This window comes from Homo sapiens, chromosome 2 (genome assembly GCF_000001405.40).
Source record: "Homo sapiens chromosome 2, GRCh38.p14 Primary Assembly".
NCBI lineage: Eukaryota > Metazoa > Chordata > Mammalia > Primates > Hominidae > Homo > Homo sapiens.
Genome location: NC_000002.12, coordinates 8,788,576 through 8,811,342, shown reverse-complemented (window position 1 = coordinate 8,811,342; position 22,767 = coordinate 8,788,576). Strand labels below are relative to the sequence as shown.

General features: G+C 39.0%; 1 protein-coding gene across 16 annotated transcripts in view, besides 1 other annotated feature; it reads left to right on the top strand.

Moving 5' to 3' along the window:
* KIDINS220 (kinase D interacting substrate 220) overlaps positions 1–22,767 on the top strand; it is a 116,533-nt gene that overhangs the window by 26,271 nt on the left and 67,495 nt on the right. For all 16 annotated transcript variants that reach the window (NR_145965.2, NR_145964.2, NM_001348741.2 and 13 more), the window contains 9 exons: positions 4,974–5,072; positions 8,216–8,413; positions 10,845–10,943; positions 13,043–13,141; positions 14,474–14,572; positions 17,356–17,533; positions 20,119–20,283; positions 21,284–21,463; positions 22,531–22,696. Coding sequence is in view for 14 of the 16 variants with exons in the window: in NM_001348741.2 (NP_001335670.1) it covers positions 4,974–5,072; positions 8,216–8,413; positions 10,845–10,943; positions 13,043–13,141; positions 14,474–14,572; positions 17,356–17,533; positions 20,119–20,283; positions 21,284–21,463; positions 22,531–22,696 (1,283 nt within the window). In the remaining 2 variants the exon portion in view is untranslated. The remainder of the gene's footprint in view (positions 1–4,973; positions 5,073–8,215; positions 8,414–10,844; positions 10,944–13,042; positions 13,142–14,473; positions 14,573–17,355; positions 17,534–20,118; positions 20,284–21,283; positions 21,464–22,530; positions 22,697–22,767) is intronic.
* Positions 7,437–7,486: an enhancer, noted in NCBI's record as "active region_15274". NCBI's record gives its function as "activates an Ori minimal core promoter by ATAC-STARR-seq in GM12878 lymphoblastoid cells {active_cell/tissue: GM12878}" and the evidence as "EXISTENCE:reporter gene assay evidence [ECO:0000049][PMID:35858748]".

Genomic DNA, 22,767 nt, shown 5'->3' with positions numbered 1-22,767 from the left:
GAGTGTAAGTTTCATGAAGATAAGGACTGCTCTTTTTTTTTTTTTTTCCCATTTTGTACCTCCATTATTTCCAGTAGCGGTCTTAGAATTTGGCACATTGTGGGGATAGTCATAGTCTTTTCACATTTATAGCATTGTAGCTAAATATAGGAAAATAGCTATTACTTAAAGATTTGTTTTTCGTCATTGAAATAGATTCTGTGCATAAATTTCTTTAAGTACAACAGTATTGTTTAACCTTTTGGGGCTGTTGGAAATCATTCATATCTTGATCTGGGCAGTAGTTATGCCAGTGTATACATATGTAAAAAATCATCAAGTAGTACAGTGAAAATTAGTATATTTTTCGCACTTTGTGCATGTTATACCTCTTTTAAAAATATTACACAAAATAATAGCTTAATGAGGAGCGTAGGGAGGCTGTTGTAAATATTTATATTATGATATGGCATTTAAGAATATTGCATTTGTACTGTTGGTTAATTCAGATTGACTGAGGTTTGAGGTATGTCTAAAATGGATACAGTTTTGTCTGTTGATGGAATTTTTGTTTTTTTTTGACAGAGTCTCGCTCTGTCACCTAGGCTGGAGTGCAGTGGCATGATCTTGGCTTACTGCAACCTCTGCCTCCTGGGTTCAAGCGATTCTCCTGTGTCAGCCTTCTGAGTAGCTGGGATTACAGGTGCGTGCCACCACGACTGTCTACTTTTTGTATTTTTAGTAGAGATGGGGTTTCACCATGTTGGCCAGGCTGGTCTCGAACTCCTGAGCTCAGGTGATCCACCCGCCTTGGCCTCCCAAAGTGCTGGGATTACAAGCGTGAGCCACCACGCCCAGCCTGTGATGTAATTTAATTATCATAGAGAAGCCTTTATTTTATCCTTCTTGCCTATAATAAAATGTTTCCATATAGCTTGGCTTTCAAGGCCCTCCAGAATCAGGTAATAATGCTACCTAATCTGTCACTCATTAGCATTTTGAGAAAATGTTTAGTACCCACTATGCAGTGCCCTGTACCTGCACTTAGCACAGAAGATACAAAAACAAAGAAAAAATGATCTCTGTTTAGAGAAGCAGGGAGATAAGTGGGCCATGTAAAATGCAAAGGCCCAGGGTCAGGTGACTTAGGAGTGTGGAGGTGGGAGAATTCACTGATGGCGCAGCAGTCAGTCAAGATTTCATAAAAGAATGCGACTTCCTCTAGACCTTGAAGAAAGGGTAGAGTTTACATCCGTGAGAGAGGAGGAGCAGAGACGAACTGGGCACAGGGAAAATGAGAGCACAAGGTACCAGGGGACGGCTTCAGGTGGCCTGTTGAGCTAGTGTTGAGTGCACCCTCAGTGGTGAGGAGATGGGTGGGAGGAGGAAGCTGGGCTGCAGGTGGAGCTACCTTTGGGTGAGTCTTGGATACTTGGCTGAGGAGCTTGGACATCTGGCCTGTAGACACTCAGAATCACTGGGGGTTTTAAGTAGTGTAGTAGGTGGTTGCAAAGGGGTGTTTTAGAAAAAATTAACGTTTAATAGTACACGGTGGGATTGATTGAAGATTGAGAGTATTTTTATTTCTGACAGAAATAGGGAGGTTTCTATGGGAACTGATTTTTAGAGAAGGGAAAGGAAGTCTGTTTTAGACATGTTGGCCTTGAAGTGGTAGAAACCTGTAGTTGAAGGTGTCCTACTAGATAGCGGACATAGAGATTTGGGTTGCCGGTGATCCAGGGCTTGCCTAGAGGTGATTCTTGAAATGATGTGAATGCGGATTTGGCAGCTGAGATCAGTAGTAACGGAATATGGTGAGCAAAGGGCTGATTATTAGGAATAATAATTATTATTTTCTTAATTATAATACATAATTATTTATATAATTATTATTAATCTCCAGAGCTAGGAGAACTTGGCTATTGTAGCATCAAAGGTGGTGAATGAATCAAAAATTCAATTTGGAAGGGACAGTCAATATAGTTCAAGATACTGCAGAGCTTTCAGGAAGAAAAGAAAGAACTTAGTAAAAGATACATAGGTGGCCGAGTGCAGTGGCTCATGCCTGTAATCCCAGCACTTTGGGAGGCCGAGGCAGGTGGATCACCTGAGGTCAGGAGTTCAAAACCACCCTGGCCAACATGGTAAAACCCCATCTCTACTAAAAATACAAAAATTAGCTGGGCATGGTGGTGGGTGCCTGTAATCCCAGCTACTTGGGAGGCTAAAGCGGGAGAATCACTTGAGCCCAGGAGGTGTGGAGATTGCAGTGAGCTGAGATTGTGCCACTGCACTCCAGTCTGGGCAGCAGAGTGAGACTCCCTCTCAAAGAAAAAAACAAACAAACAAACAAACCAAAAAAAGATACATAGATCTGGAGTTTAGGTAACTATTTGGGTGACCTCTGAAATGGTGGTTTTGTAATGTTTATAGCAGAAACTAGTTTTTTAGGGGGGTTTGGTAAGGGGTTATAAATTATCTTGAAAAGCTTAAAAGAAAGAACAGTGATTATCTTCAGAGGGTAGCCTGTTGGAAAAATTTGTTAGAACAGGAGAGACCCACATGAGAAGGACCTCATTCAGAGACCTATTAGGAAGAGGGAATAAGAAGAAAAGACTGATGATGTGGCAGGAGATTATTGAGTAAGGGCCTGGGTGAAAGAGGACCATAGGGTCAGGAATACACATAAAGGGATTAGATTGAGAAGGGATAGAGACCAGAATTTGAGAGATGAGAGACTTATTGAGGTAGTTCAGACTGTGGCTGCAGAGCTGTTTTGAAGCAGACAGCATGCAAGGTGAGGGAAGGTCTTGCTGGATGTCAGGAATTCTTTGTAATGTTGAAAGTGGGACTGTCTCCCTAATGGGAGTGGGTAAGGACTAGCCGGCTCATGTGCTGAGGCAGGGGAAGGAGCAGAAATCATAGCATATAATCGTGGATAGTTCAGTTGCATCAGAAGGGCAGAAATCCAATACAATAGATATTCAAAGGATGAGAACTCAGTTACAATAAGTATATTTTTAAAAGGCTTTATGAAGGGTGATTTTCTATGTGTATTATGTTTGAAGATATCTAAGATATTGATATTGTAAAGTTAGGAAAGGCATTTTAGCCAGAGTAAGTATTATCCGCAAAAGAGGAGGCTAGAAAAGAGAATTTAGTTCTTTTTAGTGGAGAAAACCACAGATGCAGGAATGAAGTTGGGAATCTCCTCCTGTATTTCTTTTTTTTTTTCTTTTTGAGACAGAGTCTTGCTCTGTTACCCAGGCTGGAGTGTGGTGGCATGAACACGGCTCATTGCGACCTCCACCTCTTAGGTTTAAGTGATCGTCCTGCATCAGCCTCCCCGGTAGCTGGGACTACAGGCATATACCACCACGCCTGGCTAATTTTTTTGTATTTTTAGTAGAGATAGGATTTCACCATGTTGGCCAGGCTGGTCTTAAACTCCTGACCTCAGGTGATCCACCTGGCTTAGCCTCCCAAAGTGCTGGGATTACAGGCGTGAGCCACAGTGCCTGCTCATCCTGTATTTCTTATTCGTTCTTCCTAAGCCTGCTTTGAGGCGGTGGCTGTGGCAGCTGCTTTCCCTCCATTCTCTTCCTCGTTTTGTGAGGTGCTGGCTCCCATGTGCTGTATTGGCAACCTTGTGATTCTGTCTGTCATGGAGTCTTCATCCATCTGGGAAGCCTGTCCAGGGCTCCAGCCCTCAACAGTGTGGTTGGTTGCTGTGGTGCCTGACATGATTTATAGAGCGACTCTGCTCAGTACAGTAGCCACTAGCACAGGACTACTTAGACTTACATTAATTAAAATGAAATGAAAAAGAAAAGAACTCAGTTCATCAGTCACAGTAGCCACATAGCATTCAAGTGCTTAATCGTCATTATTTGACTAGTGACTACTGTATCTCACAGCACAGAATTATAGAGTATTTCCATCAACACAGAAAGTTCTACTGGACAGGGCTGTCACAGAGAGTAGATTAAATTAAATTATCTGTGGGCTCCATGTACTGAAAGGTCACTGTGGACATTCATGTGTCTGCTGATCGCTAGCCTCCCCAGAGGCAGGCAATGTGGCTAATGCATGATTTATATTCCTGGATGCCTTTTGAATCATGTTTCAGGGAAAGGTGCTTTTGAGTGCAGTTTCAAGGGCTCATGGGTCTTGTCCCACCTCTTGATAGCTTTGTGACCTTTGCCTATGAATTAACCTCTTAGGGCCTCAGTGTCCTCATCTGTGAAAATGTGATACTGTGAATTGTTCTTACGATAAGGATCACACACGTAGACCCATGTAAAGTGGTTAGGCCACTTTAGTTTGTTTGGCACTTGGTTGTTACTATTCCTGCCTACAGTCAGACTGCTGGACTTTAAATTCTGTTTCATAAGATATGGGAAGCGATGAAAGCTTGTTGAAAATTTGGGGCTATGTTACCTTATGATGGAAACATTGTCACTCATTATAATAGTTAAATAAGAGCCTGGCACAGTGGTTCATGTCTGTAATCCCAGCACTTGGGGAGGCTGAGGTAGGCAGATCACTTGAGGTCAGGAGTTCAAGACCAGCCTGGCCAACATGGCAAAACCCGTCTCTACTGAAAATACGAAAAAATGAGCCATTTGTGGTGGTGCATACCTGTAATTCCAGCTACTCAGGAGGCTGAGGCAGGAGAATTGCTTGAGCCGGGAGGCAGAGATTGCAGTGAGCCAAGATTGCACTACTGCATTCCAGCCTGGGTGACAGAGTGAGACTCTGTCTCAAGAAAAGGTTAAATAAGGTTGGTTAAAAGACATTTCATGGACTGGTTAATCTACTCAGGAGAAATAAAATGGGAGAAATAGGATTTATCTAAGATTACAATTACGATAAATGTATACAGTTTTATGAGAATGATAAAAAGTAAGATTTTTATTAAAATTCATGTTAAGAGCTAGTTTCTTTGAGTATACTTTTTATAATAATTTTAAATTTATTGTTTGTTTTAATAGTATGGAACCACCCCTTTAGTTTGGGCTGCACGAAAGGGTCATTTGGAATGTGTGAAACATTTATTGGCCATGGGAGCTGATGTGGATCAAGAAGGAGCTGTAAGTATCTTATATTTTAATGCTTGGCAATAGAAACATGTTTTTTATTTTAAGAGAGAGAATTTATTTCTTTAGTGTATGCCTAGAGAAATTTCCCTCTAGTTCTAAAATGATAGTAACAGGAAAACAAGCATTTCCTGTTACTCTAAGAATGTTATATTATAAACATATATACTATAAATAGATGCTTTTAAGGATCTGTTGCTAATGCACACACAACTGGGGAGGCTAAAAGTATAAAGAATAGCTTTCAGTGATCCTAGTGTGATATATAGAGAGTTATGTGTCGCTTAATGACAGGGATACGTTCTAAGAAATGTGTCATCGGTGATTTTGCCATTGTGGGAACATCATAGAGTGCACTTACACACATCTGGCTGGTATAGCCTACTCCGTTCCTAGGCTCTATGGTATGGCCTGTTGCTTCTAGGCCTGTGCAGTGTGTTACCGTACTGAATACTGCAGGCAGTTGGGAGACAATGGTATTTCTTTATCTAAACATACCTAAACACAGAAAAAGTACAATGAAAGTCCAGTATCATAATCTTATGGAACTTATGTCATATATGCCATCTGTCATTAATCAAAATGTGCTGTGCATATTTTGGTTTTTGTCCGTGGTTCCTGGCTGACTGCTCCTATAACCTGTGTAATTTCATAAGTGACTACAGCAATAAGAGTATCTTTGGTTATATTTGGCCTTTTGTCCTGGGTTCTTGAAACAGCTCTGGATCAGTTCCAGAGTGATAAAGATGAAATATAGTCTTTTGTTACTTATCATAAGCCCCTTTTAACCACACTTGAGCTTATGTTAATGAGGTTATTTTTGGAAAGTTTCTAGATAACCCCACTGGTTGAGGTGCTGGTTGCCAGGGACACCAACCATGTGCTCAGAGGGTTGGAACTCACAGCCCTAACCCACCACCTCTGGGGAGGGGAGAGGAGCTAAAGATTGCATTGATCATCATTGACCAATGATTTAATAAATCATGCCTTCATAATGAAGCCCACATAAAAACCCAAAAGGACTGAGTTCAGGGGGCTTCCAGGAAGATGGCCAAGAACACATCCCCGTACTGGGAGGGTGGCATAGCGCAGCTCCATGGGGACAGAAGCTCCTGTGCTCAGGACCCTTTCAGACCTCATCCTATGTGTATCTTCATCTGCCTGCTCATTTCTATCCTTTAAAATATCCCTTATGGAAACTGGTAAATAGTACTTCCCTGAACTGTGTGAACTGCTCTAGCAAATCAATCAAAGCCAAGGAGGGGGTTGTGGGAGCTCCAATTTACAGCCAGTCAGACAACCTGAGCTTTCATTGGCATGGGAAGCGGGGGCAGTCTTGGGCACCGAACACTTGCCTGTGGGGTCTGATGCTACCTCCAGGTAGGTAGTGTCAGAATTGAGTTGGAGAATACCCAGCTGGTGTCTGCTGCAGAATTGATTGCTTGATGGATGTGGAAAAACCCCACACATCTGGTCATAGAAGTATTTAGTGTTGTAAGAATTTATGTGAAATGGAGTTTGTTTTTTCCTATACGTAGTACAAATTGTTTAATAAACTGTTCAAATCAAATGGTTTTTAATATTGGGGAAAACATTGTGCTGCATTAAAATATTTTTCTTATAAAATTTAAAGTAATATTGTAATTTTTGGGATATTTTTAGCTGTGCCTTATTTTCCCTCTTCAATGAACAGATTTTTAAAAATCAGAAATCAGCTGTCAGAAGCCAGAAAGCTTAAAAACTGGTTAGATACATCTTACTGATTAGCAATTTTTAATTCCTCATTCCCCAGCCTGTGCCAGTTGTGTTGGAGAGGTGAAGAAGCCTGATATCACTTTTCCCTTGAGCCTATAAGAATATGGTTAAAAGAAACAATATTTATGCATAAGAAACAGTTAAAATAATACAGACTGCTATTTATAGAATTAGTATGTTACATGAGTGGATCATAAAGGATTCTGAGAAGAGACAGTACCAGATCTTGGGTCATAGTGAAACAAGAGTAAACTCTTTATGTCATACTTTTTGGCACACTATCAACCAGTTCCTCCTGTTTGCATACTGGCAGGAGCTGACTCATTGCAAACCTTCAAGGCGTAGGCCCTGTTTTTGTGCTGGTGGAGGCAGCATAGTCCGTAGGCAGCTGCAGATGACATACCTTCCACCTGCCTCCTCTGGACAGTTGGTCAAGTGAACAAGTGGCTTGTTTCTGTGATGATTGATGGCTCAAGAATTTGAAAAGGCTGTGTTATTTTAATATGTGGGAGAATGACAGCTCAATTTTGGGGGCTGACCCAAAATATTTCTATAGGGAAATTGTATGACAGCTTGAAGTAGATGAACATCTCAAGAAGCAGTTTTAATACTACTTCTGGTAGTGAGTCACATTCTTCTCTTAGTTGATTTATTGTTTGTTTATTTAGAGACAGAGTCTCATATGTTGCCTAGGCTGGTCTTGAACTCCTGGCCTCAAATGATCCTCCTGCCTTGGCCTCCTTAAGCTTTGGGATTATAGGTGTGGGTCATCGTACCTGGCCTGATTTATTGTTATAAAATAGATGTGCAATTTTTAAAAGAATTACTTAAAATAAGACAGGTTTTGAAAATGTAGTTTCTAGGTTACTATGAAAGCCAAACAGTATATTACACTTTTCTTGAAATAGCTCATGGCTATTAATTCATTGTTTACTTTAGTGTTTTTTATGGGTTTTATTATAAAGAATTCTTGAAGTCTGATTCACCTGACTTTGGATTATTTAATTTAGAATGTGTTTATATATAAACACATTCTATATAGGTGTTAAAATAGTCACCCTGCCAACTATTTTATCCTTCATTACTGAGTTAGTTTATTGTAAATGAGTCCAATTTCAGATTATCATTTAAATAACTGAACTTCATAATAGCTCTAATGACTGAAGATCATTAATGTATTTTCAAAAACAAAAGATACCTCCTAGCCATTTTTGGTATGTTTCTTGCTATTTATTTTGGCATTTTACTATTGGAAATGACAATAATAGGCCACCTATTTGAAAACATTAGTTTTATGATTATGGCATAAATCATATATTTTCTAGAATACATTAATTTCTTGGGCTTGCGTTTTGTTTTGTTTTTGTTGTTGTTGTTTTTAGAATTCAATGACTGCACTTATTGTGGCAGTGAAAGGAGGTTACACACAGTCAGTAAAAGAAATTTTGAAGAGGAATCCAAATGTAAACTTAACAGATAAAGATGGAAATACAGCTTTGATGATTGCATCAAAGGAGGGACATACGGAGATTGTGCAGGATCTGCTCGACGCTGGAACATATGTGAACATACCTGACAGGGTAGGTCATCTATTTCACATTTGTCTCCTAGTGGTGAAGTGGATGAAAGGTGACCTTAGTGTCTTATTACCTTTCAAGATTCTCATGCATGACATAAACTTGTTTTAAAATAAGTTTATTTCTGCCTTTGAAACTAGTAAGTTAAAAACTGTTCAATAGTTCTGAAAAATGTCCTTTTTAATTTTTGTCAAATAATGTTGTTATTGAAAATGTCACATGTGCTATTAGTCTGTGACTGACCTTGATGTGTCACTGTAGGTGTGCTTTCTTGTGCCCTAACTTCTTTGAGCTCACACTTACTGATCCACCTCTACCTGAACGCTCCACTTGAATGTCTAATTGGCCTCTTAAACTTACAATAAAACAGATGCCTTGCTTTTTTCACCCCAAACCTGCTTTCCCTCATTCTCCATCTCAGCAAGTGGTACCATCATTCAGCCTCTTGTTGAAGCCCCAAATCCTGTGCATTAGCCTTGATTTCTCTCTTTTCCTCATCTGCCCTCCAGCAGGCTTTGTTGACTTTACTCCAAAACAAATCCTTTATCTGTCCACTTGTCTTCATTCCACTATCACTTCCCAGCTGAAGCCACTGTCTCTGGTGGTGCTACTGTCAAAGCAGTAGCTTTGCAACTGGGTTCTCCACTCTGATCTTGGAGTGATCTTTAAAACAATAAATCTCGTGTGTACTTCTTTGTTTAAAGTCATCCAAGACTTCCTGTTGCACTGAGGATGAATGTTATCTTTTTAGTTATAGACATGACATGACATTGTCTTTGCCCAACCTCTCTCCCCACTTTGTACCCCTCTTCTGCCAGTTTTCATAGCCTGCAGCCATGTTTGCTTCTTTCCCTTTCTTGAATGCACTGAGCTTGTTCCTGCTGTGGGGCCTTTGCAGCAGCTGTGCTCTTAGTCTGGAATGCTGATCTTGGCTCCTTCTTGTCATTCTCACCTCAGCTTCAAGGTTTCCTCCTCGGGAAGGTCTTCAACTACTTAATCCGAAGTAGTTACGTGATCACTTTTTTTGAGACAGGGTGTTATTCTGTTACCCAGGCTGGAGTGCAGTGGTGTGATCACAGCTCACTGTGGCCTCAACTTCCTAGACTCAAGCGATCCTCCTTGCCTTAGCCTCCCAAGTAGCTGGGACTACAGGTGCATGCCACCACGCCTGGCTAATTCTTGTTTTGTTTTGAGAGACAGGGTCTCACTATGTTGACCAGGCTGGTCTCGAACTCCTGGCCTCAAGTGATTTCTCCTGCCTTGGCCTCTTAAAGTGGTGAGATTACAGGCATAAGCCATCATGCCCTGCCTACCTGGTAGTCACTTTCTAGAACATTACCTTATTTTATTTGCATAGTGTTTGTATGATTTTTTGTTTATTGTATGTTGTCTTCTCTGCCAGGCTGTAAATTCTTCCAGAGGTAGGACCGCGTCTGTCTTGTTTCCTAGTACCTAGAATGGTGGATGGCACATTTAAGAAGTTTACTAGTCTGCACCCATGTTAATGCCAATGTTCCCAACTAAAATTTGTCTGCCTTTGGTTTATTTCTGCTATAAATGTGGTAGTTAACACACTACAGCATGGTGCTGAACTTAATAACCCTTAAGGACCTGCATCCTGATTTATTTCATAGTACTTTTAAGGTCCACTCAGGATTGAATTGAGCTGCAGCCCATGGGCTCATTCAACACAAAAGACTACAACTGATTTTTAAGTTAGCAGTAAATAATAAAATATTTATGCCCATTTCCAAAATAGCTGTTTCCAGTATTTTAAGTATAGGTAGATATAACTAAAAATGATTGCTGCTTGGTGAATATAGTTTCAGGGGAGAGCAATGTCCTCATGAGGTTGTGAACTTAGTCTTATGCTGGGGAATGAGTCAGTCTTAATGTACTACTGGCCTGTAACTGTCAAATCCACTAGGTTTTCATGGATGCTGCTCGGGGAACTTTCTCCCTTAATTGAATGTGGCTGTAGATTCACTGATAGTTTTAGCTTTATAGCTCCGTTTTTTTAGAATTCATGGCTTTCGTCATATAGCATTATTCCAAGATATTTTTACTATATGATTTTAAAATGTTCATTTGGTTCATTGACAGCCACAACGTCATTGTATTTAATTTACATTTGTAATAGGCGGTTACCTTCAAAGAGAATAGATTATTGTTCTGGGTAACTGGTCTTTCTAAACTTTGTTTAGGAATTTCAGAGTCCTCATTTTGGGGCATAAAGTCCTCTGTCCCTTACTCTGATATCTGTTAATATCAGATATTCATATTAGTTAAGTAACATTTTTCTCTTATTTAGAGGTAGACTTTTTCCAAGAAATTTTTAGAAAAAAATATGAAAACATGATTAACTGTAACTTAAAAAGAGTGCTTATTTGTTGTCAATTTACCTTGTTTTTGTTTTTATTTTCTGTCTTCTTAGAGTGGGGATACTGTGTTGATTGGCGCTGTCAGAGGTGGTCATGTTGAAATTGTTCGAGCGCTTCTCCAAAAATATGCTGATATAGACATTAGAGGACAGGTATGTGTGATTACAGTGCAGTTGCTATCTTAGAGTATAATTGCATGTAAGTGTTGACTGATCATAATGTTATTCTTCCCACTTTCCTATGGAGATAAACTTGTAAACCCTAGTACATTTAACAGACGTATATTATTACTAAGTTTCACTGCCATTATTGTAAAATTTCTATATTAATGTCGAGTTAAATGTAGATAGAGGTAAACCAAAAAAGCTCATGTTTTTAGAATATACTGTCCTTACTAATGGGTATATATAGATTCAATCCTCAGAACTATAATGAGTAGTTAGTGATACTGAGAGAGTCGGTGACACTTTGAATATCTGGTACTTATTTATTTTTTTTAGTGTTTTCTCCCTGTTTTGTCTTCTTCCTCCATCTGCTGTTCTTCTACTGTTGTTGTTTTATTTTCTTCTCCCTTTTCCCCACTGTGCCTGCCTTTCCTAGGACCACTTGGTAGTGCCTATGGACATTGCTTAAGGCAATCATAGTTCATAGAACCACAAAGATTATTAATTTTAGATAAAAGCCTTGCCCACAGTTGTGAATTTATCAAATACTTCAAGAGCTTTAGACTTTAGAAAAAGTTCTTGGCGTCTTCATTTTGTTGTTGGACAGTCTACATTTCTGCTCAGTTTTTTCTTGTATTTGGCCAAAAATCTCTTGTATCAAAATCCATTTTTGAATCAAACTATAACTATTATGCCAAATGTTATGGGGGAATTAACATGGGCCCCTTGTCTTTAAGACACATGTATTTTAATTTGAGAGATTTTAGTTTGTTTATTTTTATGCTTTTAACATAAAAAGTGAAGCCACAAGATGGTATATGATTGATTGCCTAGCAAAAGGTTCAAGTATGAGTCTTGAGGTAGGGAAAGAAGGCCTTAAGGTCTGGGGCTTTTGGAAGAAGGTAGAACTTGAGCTAAGTTTGAAGATGAGTTGGATTTAGGTAGGTGAAGAGCCTGGCCGGGTTGCTGATGCCTGTAATCCCAGCACTTTGGGGAGGCTGAGGTGGGAAGATCCCTTGAGCCCAGGAGTTTGAGGTTATAGTGAGCTGTGACTGTGCCATTGCACTCTAGCCTGGGTGACAGAGTAAGACCTTGTCTCTTAAAAAAAAAAAAATAGAAAAGGAAAGCTGGGTGTTTCAGGCAAGGGGAGTTGTAATAGGATGAGAAAATTAGAGAAAATTAGAAAGTGAAAGACCGCATTTCATAGCTAGTGAATGAATCATTTGGCATTGGGCAGTGGGATGGTAGGCATGGTGGTGGGGATGGTGGGGAGAGGTGGAGAAATGAAATGGGAGGCGGGTAGGGCCTGGGAAGTTTGAGTTGGGCAGCTAGTGTACATTTTTTAGAAGAGAAACTGTTGAGGAAATTTTGGTATTAGGAACTTAATGTGGCTGCTGCAAAAGTCATTCATTATCTCCTGGGTTAAAATCACATTGCCACTAAAGATGGGTTCTAGGCCACCTACTTGGACTTTTACCTAACTTCCTTGCGTCTGTGAGTCCTCTTCTGTGTTTGAGTTCGTTTTTTTGTTGTTCTCTAGCTCTACTTTCAAGGTCTGTGTGGATTGATTTTTGGGTTTTGAGCTAGATAAGATTTTAAAGATCTGATCAAGGCAGTTATAGGGGTATGGGATGGATGGAAATTAAGAAAGCTAAAAATGATAATGCCTTATATTTGTGAAGTACATTTTCGTGCATTATCTTTTGAAAAATTGGGCAATACTTACAGCATGTTACAGATGAAAATCTAAGGGTCAGAATAGCCAAGTGACATGTCTGAGTTTACAGGGTTCAGGTACTGATGACTCCTAACCCAGTGTGTGTTCCTGAAATCTGATTACATTACAAAAGTGTAGTTTATTAACTATGTGGGATTGCTACTTTTTAGGTTAAGTAATACGAAGTTTTCCTAGGCTTCTTTCACAAAGAATTTCTCAAAAGTAACTCCAAGATAGCATAAGGATTAATAGTATTTCCTACCATGCTGCCTGTTGGAATGCTTTCTGACAGAAATGTTTTGTATTTATAAGTAGCAGTTTTAAATATTGTATCTTACATGAAGTGATTGTGTTTTTTTTAATTATCTAGGATAATAAAACTGCTTTGTATTGGGCTGTTGAGAAAGGAAATGCAACAATGGTGAGAGATATCTTACAGTGCAATCCTGACACTGAAATATGCACAAAGGTATAAATGGCATTTCTATTCTGTTAGCAGCACCTTATGCTGAATGTTAGTACTGCTCATTTTATTTCAGTCGTCTTTGTTTGATGTTAGAGTTACACTGATTTTACTGGTAATATTCTCTATCACATTGAGGAGTAACTTTGTATCCTTTCAGGATTTGTGTATTCATAGCAAAATACAGTGTGTTGTTACTTCAATTAAATACTTCTCAGGAAGTGCAATATCAGCCATTCATAAATTGTTATTATTTGGACAGCTCATCTCTCCCAAATTCATTTATGCCACTGTTATCTGAACACATTCCTTTGTGGGGAGATGGCGTGTGCTCAGGAGTTCCAGGCCAGCCTGGGCAATATAGTGAGACCCTGTCTCTTTAAATGAATACATAAATAACCATGTGACTGGTGGTTGGTTCCCCAGACTAGCTACTTTCAACTGTTTTACTCAAATTGTGTAAAAAATAAAAAATTATCTAATACTGTGGTCTCCTATTTAGCGTATGTGTAATCATTTTCTATGGGGAAAATATATTTGGAATTCTGGGTTGATATGGCAGGAATTCTTAATGAATAAAGCAAAATTATAGAGTCATCCATAAGACAATCCTATGTCATCTGCTGTAGATCAGGACCGGCCAATTTCTAAATCAGTGATGGTACTTCCAGTACCCCAGGATAGAAAATTTCTGAGATACCTTCTGGTTTGCAGGTGGCTCCTTAATCCTCTTTTTTCTTTTTCTTTTGGACCTTGGTGTCAGCCAGGGTGACTACCTGTGGCTTCTGACCAGATTTTTGTCTAACTCAGTGCTGAATTGTGGTCTCTTCTTGTTTCCCTTCCTTTGGTTTTGAAAGCAATCATGAACTCTTTTGAGGTTTTCTGAAGGCATACTGCTTGTTTCAAATGGTTTCACTGAGAATTGAAGTGATGTTGGTATACATTTCTGAAAAACTCTGGACACTGGCTTACCTGGACGTTGACAGGCTGGGCTGTGGGTTGGTCGGTGGGGAGAACGGGAAGTAGCCTCTGGAGGGGAGCTGCCCCAGGTCAGTGGTAGAACCTGGGGTAGGGCAGAAGCAGCCACTGCTGCCGGCTGTAGCTTACGAGCAGCTGGGGCAGGTCCCACACCTGGCTACGTGATTTACAGTCACTTTGATACAAATGAGTGGGTGTAAAGGAAAAGCATTTTTTTGTTGTTAGCTTTTATGTTTTCTTGAGAGGGTTTTAAATATAGGCTGTTACCAGAGTCAGATATTTCTTGACATGTGCATTTGTATGACATAAACACAGGAGTCAAGCTATTAATCTGGCAAATGTTCTTATTTGTGCCCACAGGATGGTGAAACGCCACTTATAAAGGCTACCAAGATGAGAAACATTGAAGTGGTGGAGCTGCTGCTAGATAAAGGTGCTAAAGTGTCTGCTGTAGATAAGGTAAAACATCTGTGCGGAGAGAACACTGTATGGAAAGCTGTTGGTCGACTGACCTCTATATGGAGTGGATTTAATGGGGATCTGATTTTAGGTTGTGTGGGGAGAGATGACTTGCTGGGGATGTCTGTGTGGGCTTTGGATCCCACACAGTAGTGTGCTGAGGAGTGGGTGGGCTCAGTGTGCTATTAACGCAGCTGCTTCCGACTTTCCTTCTACGGCTCACAGCAGCTGTGGGGCACTGCCATTGACTACCACATCAGGAGGAGGCTCTGCCTTCATCAGGGTAGAGCTTGCTGCAGATAAACAGGAGGAAAGAATGCACAGGGGCTGGAGGAGGCCGATGCTCAGAGCAGACGGTGTTAATGTTCACTGACAGGAGTCAATGTGTTTGTTCTGCCGCGTGTCCTTGCTATAATCCTTTCAGAGGAATTTTTATATTTTCTATAATAAGTTTAGCTCTAAGTGGCTTCATACTTCATATAGATTTGATTTTTCATTTTAGTTTCTTTTTATTTTAAACAAGCTTATTTCTTTCTGTACTTTAAATTGGTTTTCCCCCAGGATAGAAGTGAACTGATGTATAAAGTAAAAAATAATATTGTAAATTTTCTCCTCTGATGAATGATATGGTTTGGGCTTTACTAATTAATAATAGATTGAAGTTTGTTTTTCTATTAGTTATAAGGCAGTTAAACAAAAACAGGGAGTCACGAGTCAATGTGTTTATGTTTCATTTTGCCATGTTACAACATTATTTTAAAACATAAAAGCACCTCCCCCCTGTCATTACCATGTTAACATGTCATATCAAAGAAAGGAAACTTTAATATTAAAAACTAGAAGACATAAAAAGTCAAAGAAGAGTTTTCAAAATGGAATATATGTAGCTTTCTAGAAAACTTCTTATAATGCCTGTTTTTCTCAATCTGCCATTGACTCATCTGACACTGGTCCCCCAATTTGCGATACAGAACCACCAGACTGTATCCTTCAAGGTTCCATATAGCCTTGTTAATTATATAATATGCTATCTTAAGTAATTGCTTTATACTCATTAATAAGTTTCCTGAAGGCCTCTGCCTTGGTATTCTTTTGTGTGTTGCTGTGCCCAGAGTCAGCACATGATACTTGTTGACAAATACACATGATAGTTGCAACAGTTGTTCATTCATGAACACATTCTTACTGAGGACGGGTAAAGTGCTATCCTGCTAGAATTTGGGATACAAACTTTTAAAAGTCTTGAACCTGGATCTTCATAGAGAATTTCATAAAAACAATTTTAAAAGTGACGATTAATGTTATTTTTACCTTGCCCGTCACTGCTCTCTGATTATTTTCAGCCTGTCAGCAAAGTATGCTAATATCCTCCCTGCATTTATAGGAATTTTGTATCTGGCAGAAATGCTGCTGCTACTGTTTTGTCTTCTCACAGGTCTGGGGATGAGAATTGGAATTGAGATGGGAAAATAAGATGAAATTGGGTTTGGATATGTTTAGTTTGAGGGCTGATAAGACATTCAGGAGCCTGTGGCCAGTAGACATTGGGAAATCTAGTACTGGAATCTGGGCAAGAAATCAAGGCTGGTGATGGAAATTTGGCAATTAGTTACTAGGATAGAGAGTTGCATGGGAGCGACTAAGATGATCGGTGTGAAGAAAGATGAAAGCTGAAGTCAAAATGGACTCTTATGCTGTGTGTCATACTGCAGTTTTTAAATTGTGCATGTTTATCCAGTCTCTTCCTATTACGACATAAGCTACTTAAGGTCAGCAACTATTTTGTCTTACATCTTTATATCCTCCAAAGTACGAAGCACAGAGCCTTACATATAGTGAGTCTGGTGCATAGTTATGCTACCACATTTTTTAGGACATGAGAGGAGAGTCTAGAAGATGAAAAGTTCAAGATAAGGTCGTGCCTTGGAAGCCACAGGAAGAATGTGTAGGTCATTTTCATTTAGTGTCCTGGAGATCAGTGTGGATGAGAACTGAGAATTTAATTTGTCAAGGTGTTTGTGAAGTAATCAATAGGAGAGCACTTTGCAGCCCGAAGAGGACTTTTGAAATTTACATGTTAGCTTTCATTAGTGTTGGATGTGAGCACTAATGTGATTGGAGATGCTAATAAGGAGAGAAGGTGGGTTGATAGGGAAAAGTGAAAGGTGAGGAGAGTGGAAAGGTGAGGAGAATGGAAGAGGAGAGGAGAGAGTCGGAGGAGGATAGGTGTACATAGAGGACTCAGGTGGAGAATGTAGAGTGATGAGATTTAAGGGTTCACTGTGGCAAATGGTTGACAAAGGTCATGGAGCTGACAAGATCACTTGTGTTAGATGGCTGTCCGCATGGATTGTAACGCTTTCTAGACAAATGAAGAAAGCTGTGAAATAGAATTTAAATTAGTTGAGGAAGGTAGTTGACATCCTTGGACAATAAATATTTGGATGATGGAGGGATACTAATGAAGTGGACCCATGGCCTAGGAGGAGCTGCAGGGAGAAAGCCTGTTGCTTCTCCTCTTTCACTGAGTTAAGAAAAGGGGAAAAGAATGACCTTCATTCTAGAGGGCTGTGGGAGAAACAGTATCTGAGCAAAGCTGGATGAGGAGCTACAGAAGGATATTATGGGGAAGATAGAGATAAAAATTCATATTATATATGTGCTTTATATGAAAAATAAGAAAAGTTCAGATTTTGTTATTTTACAGAAACATGAAAATTGTTACTGTCTGCATACTATATATAAAGATAAGAAAGTTCAAGTTTCGTACTATTATTTTACAGAAAGGAGATACTCCCTTGCATATTGCTATTCGTGGAAGGAGCCGGAAACTGGCAGAACTGCTTTTAAGAAATCCCAAAGATGGGCGATTACTTTATAGGCCCAACAAAGCAGGCGAGACTCCTTATAATATTGACTGTAGCCATCAGAAGAGTATTTTAACTCAAATATTTGGAGCCAGTAAGTATTGAGTTTTGCTCCTAACTGAGCTTTTAAATAATCAATGTTCCATTAAAGAATATGGAAAATAAGGCCAGGCATGGTGGCTCATGCCTGTAATCCCAGCACTTGAGGAGGCCGAGGTGGGAGGATTGCTTGACCCCAGGAGTTTGAGACAAGCCTGGGCAGTATAGTGAGACCTCATCTCCACAAAAAGATTAAAAAATTAGCTGAGCGTGGTGGTGTGCTTGTAGTCCTAGCTTCTTGGGAGGCTGAGGTGGGAGGATCTCTTGAGCCAGGGAGATGGAGATTGCAGTGAGCCAAGATCACACCACTGCACTGGGTCTCACTCTGTTGCCCAGGCTGGAGTACAGTGATGCAATCATAGCTCACTGCAACCTCAAATTCCTGGGCTTAAGCGATGCTCCCACCTCAGCCTCCTGAGTACTTGGAACTACAGGCCCATGCTACCACACCCAGCTGATTTTTTTTCTTTTTTTGTAGAGACGAGGTCTTGCCATGTTCCCTAGTCTGGGGCTGAGTGATCCTCCCACCTTGGCCTCCCAAAGTGCTGGGATTACAGACATGAGCCACTGTGCCTGGCCATGATTCTATTTTTTTATGACTTTTTGTATTTTAAAATATTTTTTCTTATTATAATAGTAATGTGCACTAATTACATTTCAAGAATGAAAACATGAGTATAGCAGAAAGTGAAAATTCCCCATTACCCCCTATATCCCAACTTGTAATTGTTTAAATGACCCTCCAGGCTTTTCTTTATGCTTATAAAAATGTTACATACTATGTATATAGTTTTAAAAAATAAAAATTGAGTTATAATATGTTACAAAAGCTTAAAGTGTCATATTTTAATTATTGCATAATTTTTCGTACATTGAGTTCGCTATTGGTGAATATTTAGTTTGTTTTGCTAACAACTAGTGCTGCAGTGAACACCTTTGTACGTATATCCATTGACTCTTATTTTTAGGATTTTTTTTCTTTCTTTTGAAAATATTATTAGAGATTCAGGGGGTACAATTAGGATTATTTTCTTAGGGTAAATTCCCAGAAGTAGAATTGCCAAGTCAGTGGATGCCCATAGTTTTGATAGACTTTCCAAAATGGTTGTAAAAATTTCTTCTCCCTCTGGCAGTGTAAGATACCACAATTCCCCACAAGCTTGCTAGCACTGGGTATTTCCAGCCTCTTACTCTTTGCTAATCAGATAAATAAGAAAAGAAAATCTCATTTCAATTTGTGTTTTAAAATTATTAGTGAAATTGAGATCTTGTAATATATTCATAGGCTATTGCTTCTCAGCCTTTTGGCTTAGATAATGTGTAATATGTTCATAGGCTATTTGTATTCTTGCCAGTTTCCTTTTTGTATCCTTTGCCCACTTTTTAGTTTTTAATATTTTAAAAAAATTGATGTAAGAGTCTTTCTGTGTTATGGATATTGATCCTGGGTCTATCCCATGTGCTGCATTCCTCTCCCCCGGCATACTCTTGGTTGATGGTCATGGATTTTTATTCCTCATTCAAAAGTTTTACATTTTTGTAGTTTATTCATTAGTCTTTTCCTGCAGTTCTGGCCTTAGTATTACATTGCAAAAGAAAGGCCTTTTTAAACAAAGATTTTTAAAGTTTTTCCTATATTTCCTTCTAGTACTTCTATGGTTTTACTTTTTTCTACTTAATTTTTTAATGTTTCAGAAAATTTTGTTGAGGCTATGAGGTATATAGCATTTTAATTTAATTTTTTCATGAATGATTAAACTTTCCCAACACCACTTACTAATTCATCCTTTCCTGCCTTATTTGAAATGCCACTTATGTTAATATCCTATATGAGTTCCAGAATGTTCAAATTATTGTTTTACATTTTTATTCTTCTCCAGTGGCAACTACCCTTCAGTAGTCTTTAATTTTTTTTTCTATTCTTACACATTCTTCTTTCCTTTCAATTAAAACAAAATTCTCATGGATTTTAATTAGAACTGCCTTAAAGTGATAGAATAATTTGGGAGAATTGCTGAACCTTTCTTCCTGGAATCATAAAATGTTTCTTTTTCTATTATTATCTATTATGTTCTTCAGTAACATTTTACAACTTTCTTTGTATAGGTATTACACGTACTAAATTTATTTTATATGCTTATTTGTGTTAATCATATTTTATCGATTCTAAAATGCACAATGTTCCCATAATTTAACATCTCTGAAATTGGAATGTGTCTTGTAAGTGATGGACAAGAAAGCATGATGTCACAATTTGGCAACATTTTGTTCTTTCTTAGTTATACATAAAAATGATGTATCATATAATTAATAAGTATCAAGTTCTATGAAATATGATAGTAATTTAAGAATATCTGAAACTTTTTATGAAATACGATAGTAATTTAAGAATCTCTGAATTTTAAATCAGGTAGCCTTCCAAGTCAGAATAGGCTCAGAGACTCCCTGAAACTGTCCCTACATGGGTATAAACATTTGAAATAATTTTTTTCTCTCTAATCAAGGAAACAATGAAAATAGTGTTCATTTCTAATAGTAATGCCACTGTTTAATGTAAGATATGATGTGTTTTAATTACAGGACACTTGTCTCCTACTGAAACAGACGGTGACATGCTTGGATATGATTTATATAGCAGTGCCCTGGCAGATATTCTCAGTGAGCCTACCATGCAGCCACCCATTTGTGTGGGGTTATATGCACAGTGGGGAAGTGGGAAATCTTTCTTACTCAAGAAACTAGAAGGTAAAGGGCTTGCTTGTACAAAGTCTGTATATATAAAGCAAGGTTTTCTCTGGGGATTTTTCTGAAATAAAGAGGAAGACCACTTTCTGTATAAGCATGTGTGTTATGTGGTTTACTGAGATGAACTCCCCTCTGGTTGGTCCTTCACACGGTCATTTGAGTTCTCTTTCTAAAGCAGATCCAATTGTGTGATAACCCCACATAAAACCCTTGCTGGCAAGTTTTTTTCGGGCCCTTCACAGACTTGTCAATTTGCATGGTCCCACCTGCCAGCACCACCTCTGGCATGTGCCCCAGCTTCAGTCACAGAGGACTGTTTGCTCTTGCAAGAACAGACCAGATGTGTTTCCCAGGTTGCTCCCTCTATTAGCAGCTCCTTAGTGGCCTCACTACCACCCACCCAACATGCATGCCTTTTGCTTGGCAAAAGCTTACTTATTCTTCAAGGATAGGTTTCAGTATTGCCTATAAAATTTTCCCCAAGTTTTGTACAAAGAATTACTTGTGTGGGACTCCATTGGGCTCAACATGCACCTTTAAGAACAGTATTCTCAAATGTGATTGGAGGGAGAAGGGATGAGAAGGATCACAGTGGAATGGTGGTGATATGTAGTTTGAAGATATAGGGTATAGTTTTTATTTTTGCATGTGGAAACAATATGCATATGCATAATATTTGTTGTTTGTGTTAATGCAAACCACAAAAAACAAATCTCAAGAAAATCTTGACAGATGGGAGTATATGAGAAGGGGTTTTGTACATCCTCCACGTGAAGCAGGAGAGGGTGGCGAGTCAGGCCTAGCTGTGGTCCTGGGGGTGAGATGTTCATCTTTGGCAAGAGAACACTGGGTAAAATGGTTAAGTGGCAGTATTCCATCTAGGGACCTACTAAGTGTCCAATAAATGTTTACATTGAAAATGTGAAAACTGCATATTGAGTTAAAAGTTGTATTTCTTAAACAAAACAGGAATAAGGTTTCGTATTAAATTCTCTTTCAGACGAAATGAAAACCTTCGCCGGACAACAGATTGAGCCTCTCTTTCAGTTCTCATGGCTCATAGTGTTTCTTACCCTGCTACTTTGTGGAGGGCTTGGTTTATTGTTTGCCTTCACGGTCCACCCAAATCTTGGAATAGCAGTGTCACTGAGCTTCTTGGCTCTCTTATATATATTCTTTAGTAAGTCTTTGCTTTTTATCTTTTTCAAAAATGGAGAAAACGTTAAGATTCATAGATAAAGAAAAAACATTTTCTTTATCTGTCTTTTAAAACCTGTATGTGATTTTCATAATTGGGTGAGAAAATTGATCTTTTTGCTACTCCATAAATTTTCCTAAAGGAACATTGCTCACAACTTGGCTGAAGTAGCTTATAAACTAATGTACTACTTGTTAATCTTGAAGCAAGAACCTATATTATTATACTTACTCTTTTTGTTAATTAATGATTTATATTTAAATCTTTTTCTGGGCCGGGTGCGGTGGCTCTCACGCCTGTAATCCCAGCACTTTGGGAGCCCAAGGCGGGCAGATCGTAAGGTCAGGAGATCGAGACCATCCTGGCTGACATGGTGAAACCCCGTCTCTACTAAATATACAAAAAAATTAGCCGGGCAAGATGGCGGGCGCCTGTAGTCCCAGCTACTCGGGAGGCTGAGGCAGGAGAATGGCGTGAACCTGGGAGGGGGAGGTTGCAGTGAGCCGAGATGGCGCCACTGCTCTCCAGCCTGGGCAACAGAGCGAGACTCCATCTCAAAAAAAAAAAAAAAAAAAAAATTCTTTTTCTGAAAAGAAGGCTTCAAAGCCATCATTGGTATGCTCTTGAGCATTTTGACCATGTCTGTACTTTTAATTTTATCTAAAAGCAAAATAAAAAAAATATAATATAATCCCTATTCTTGGGGGTGTCTTCAGTTGCAAGAAAGGAAATAGATTTACTGTTAGAGGAACTGATAACCAACTTCACCAGTTGCGAATAGTGATAAACCCAAGATGATTTGCATTTGAATCTGAACTGCAGTTATGTTTCTGTTTAAGGCATGTTTTAGTCAGTTTACTTTTCATTTTTCATATCTTCTGTATCTTAGGGGAGGTTAATGGAATTCTTTGAGGAGTAGTTAGGAAATAGTATGGGACCATAGGAAGCTATGTAAGCTTAGCTCTCATTACTTGATACTTGATCTTTGGAGAAAAGATCTGCTTGACTAGTGACTGCTTTGGATAACTTTTTTAAACTGTGAATTTCAGTTGTCATTTACTTTGGTGGACGAAGAGAAGGAGAGAGTTGGAATTGGGCCTGGGTCCTCAGCACTAGATTGGCAAGACATATTGGATATTTGGAACTCCTCCTTAAATTGATGTTTGTGAATCCACCTGAGTTGCCAGAGCAGACTACTAAAGCTTTACCTGTGAGGTGAGTTGTACCATTTGACAGAAGAAATCTTCAATGAGATTCAGAAAAAAATATTTTTCACTTCGGAAAGT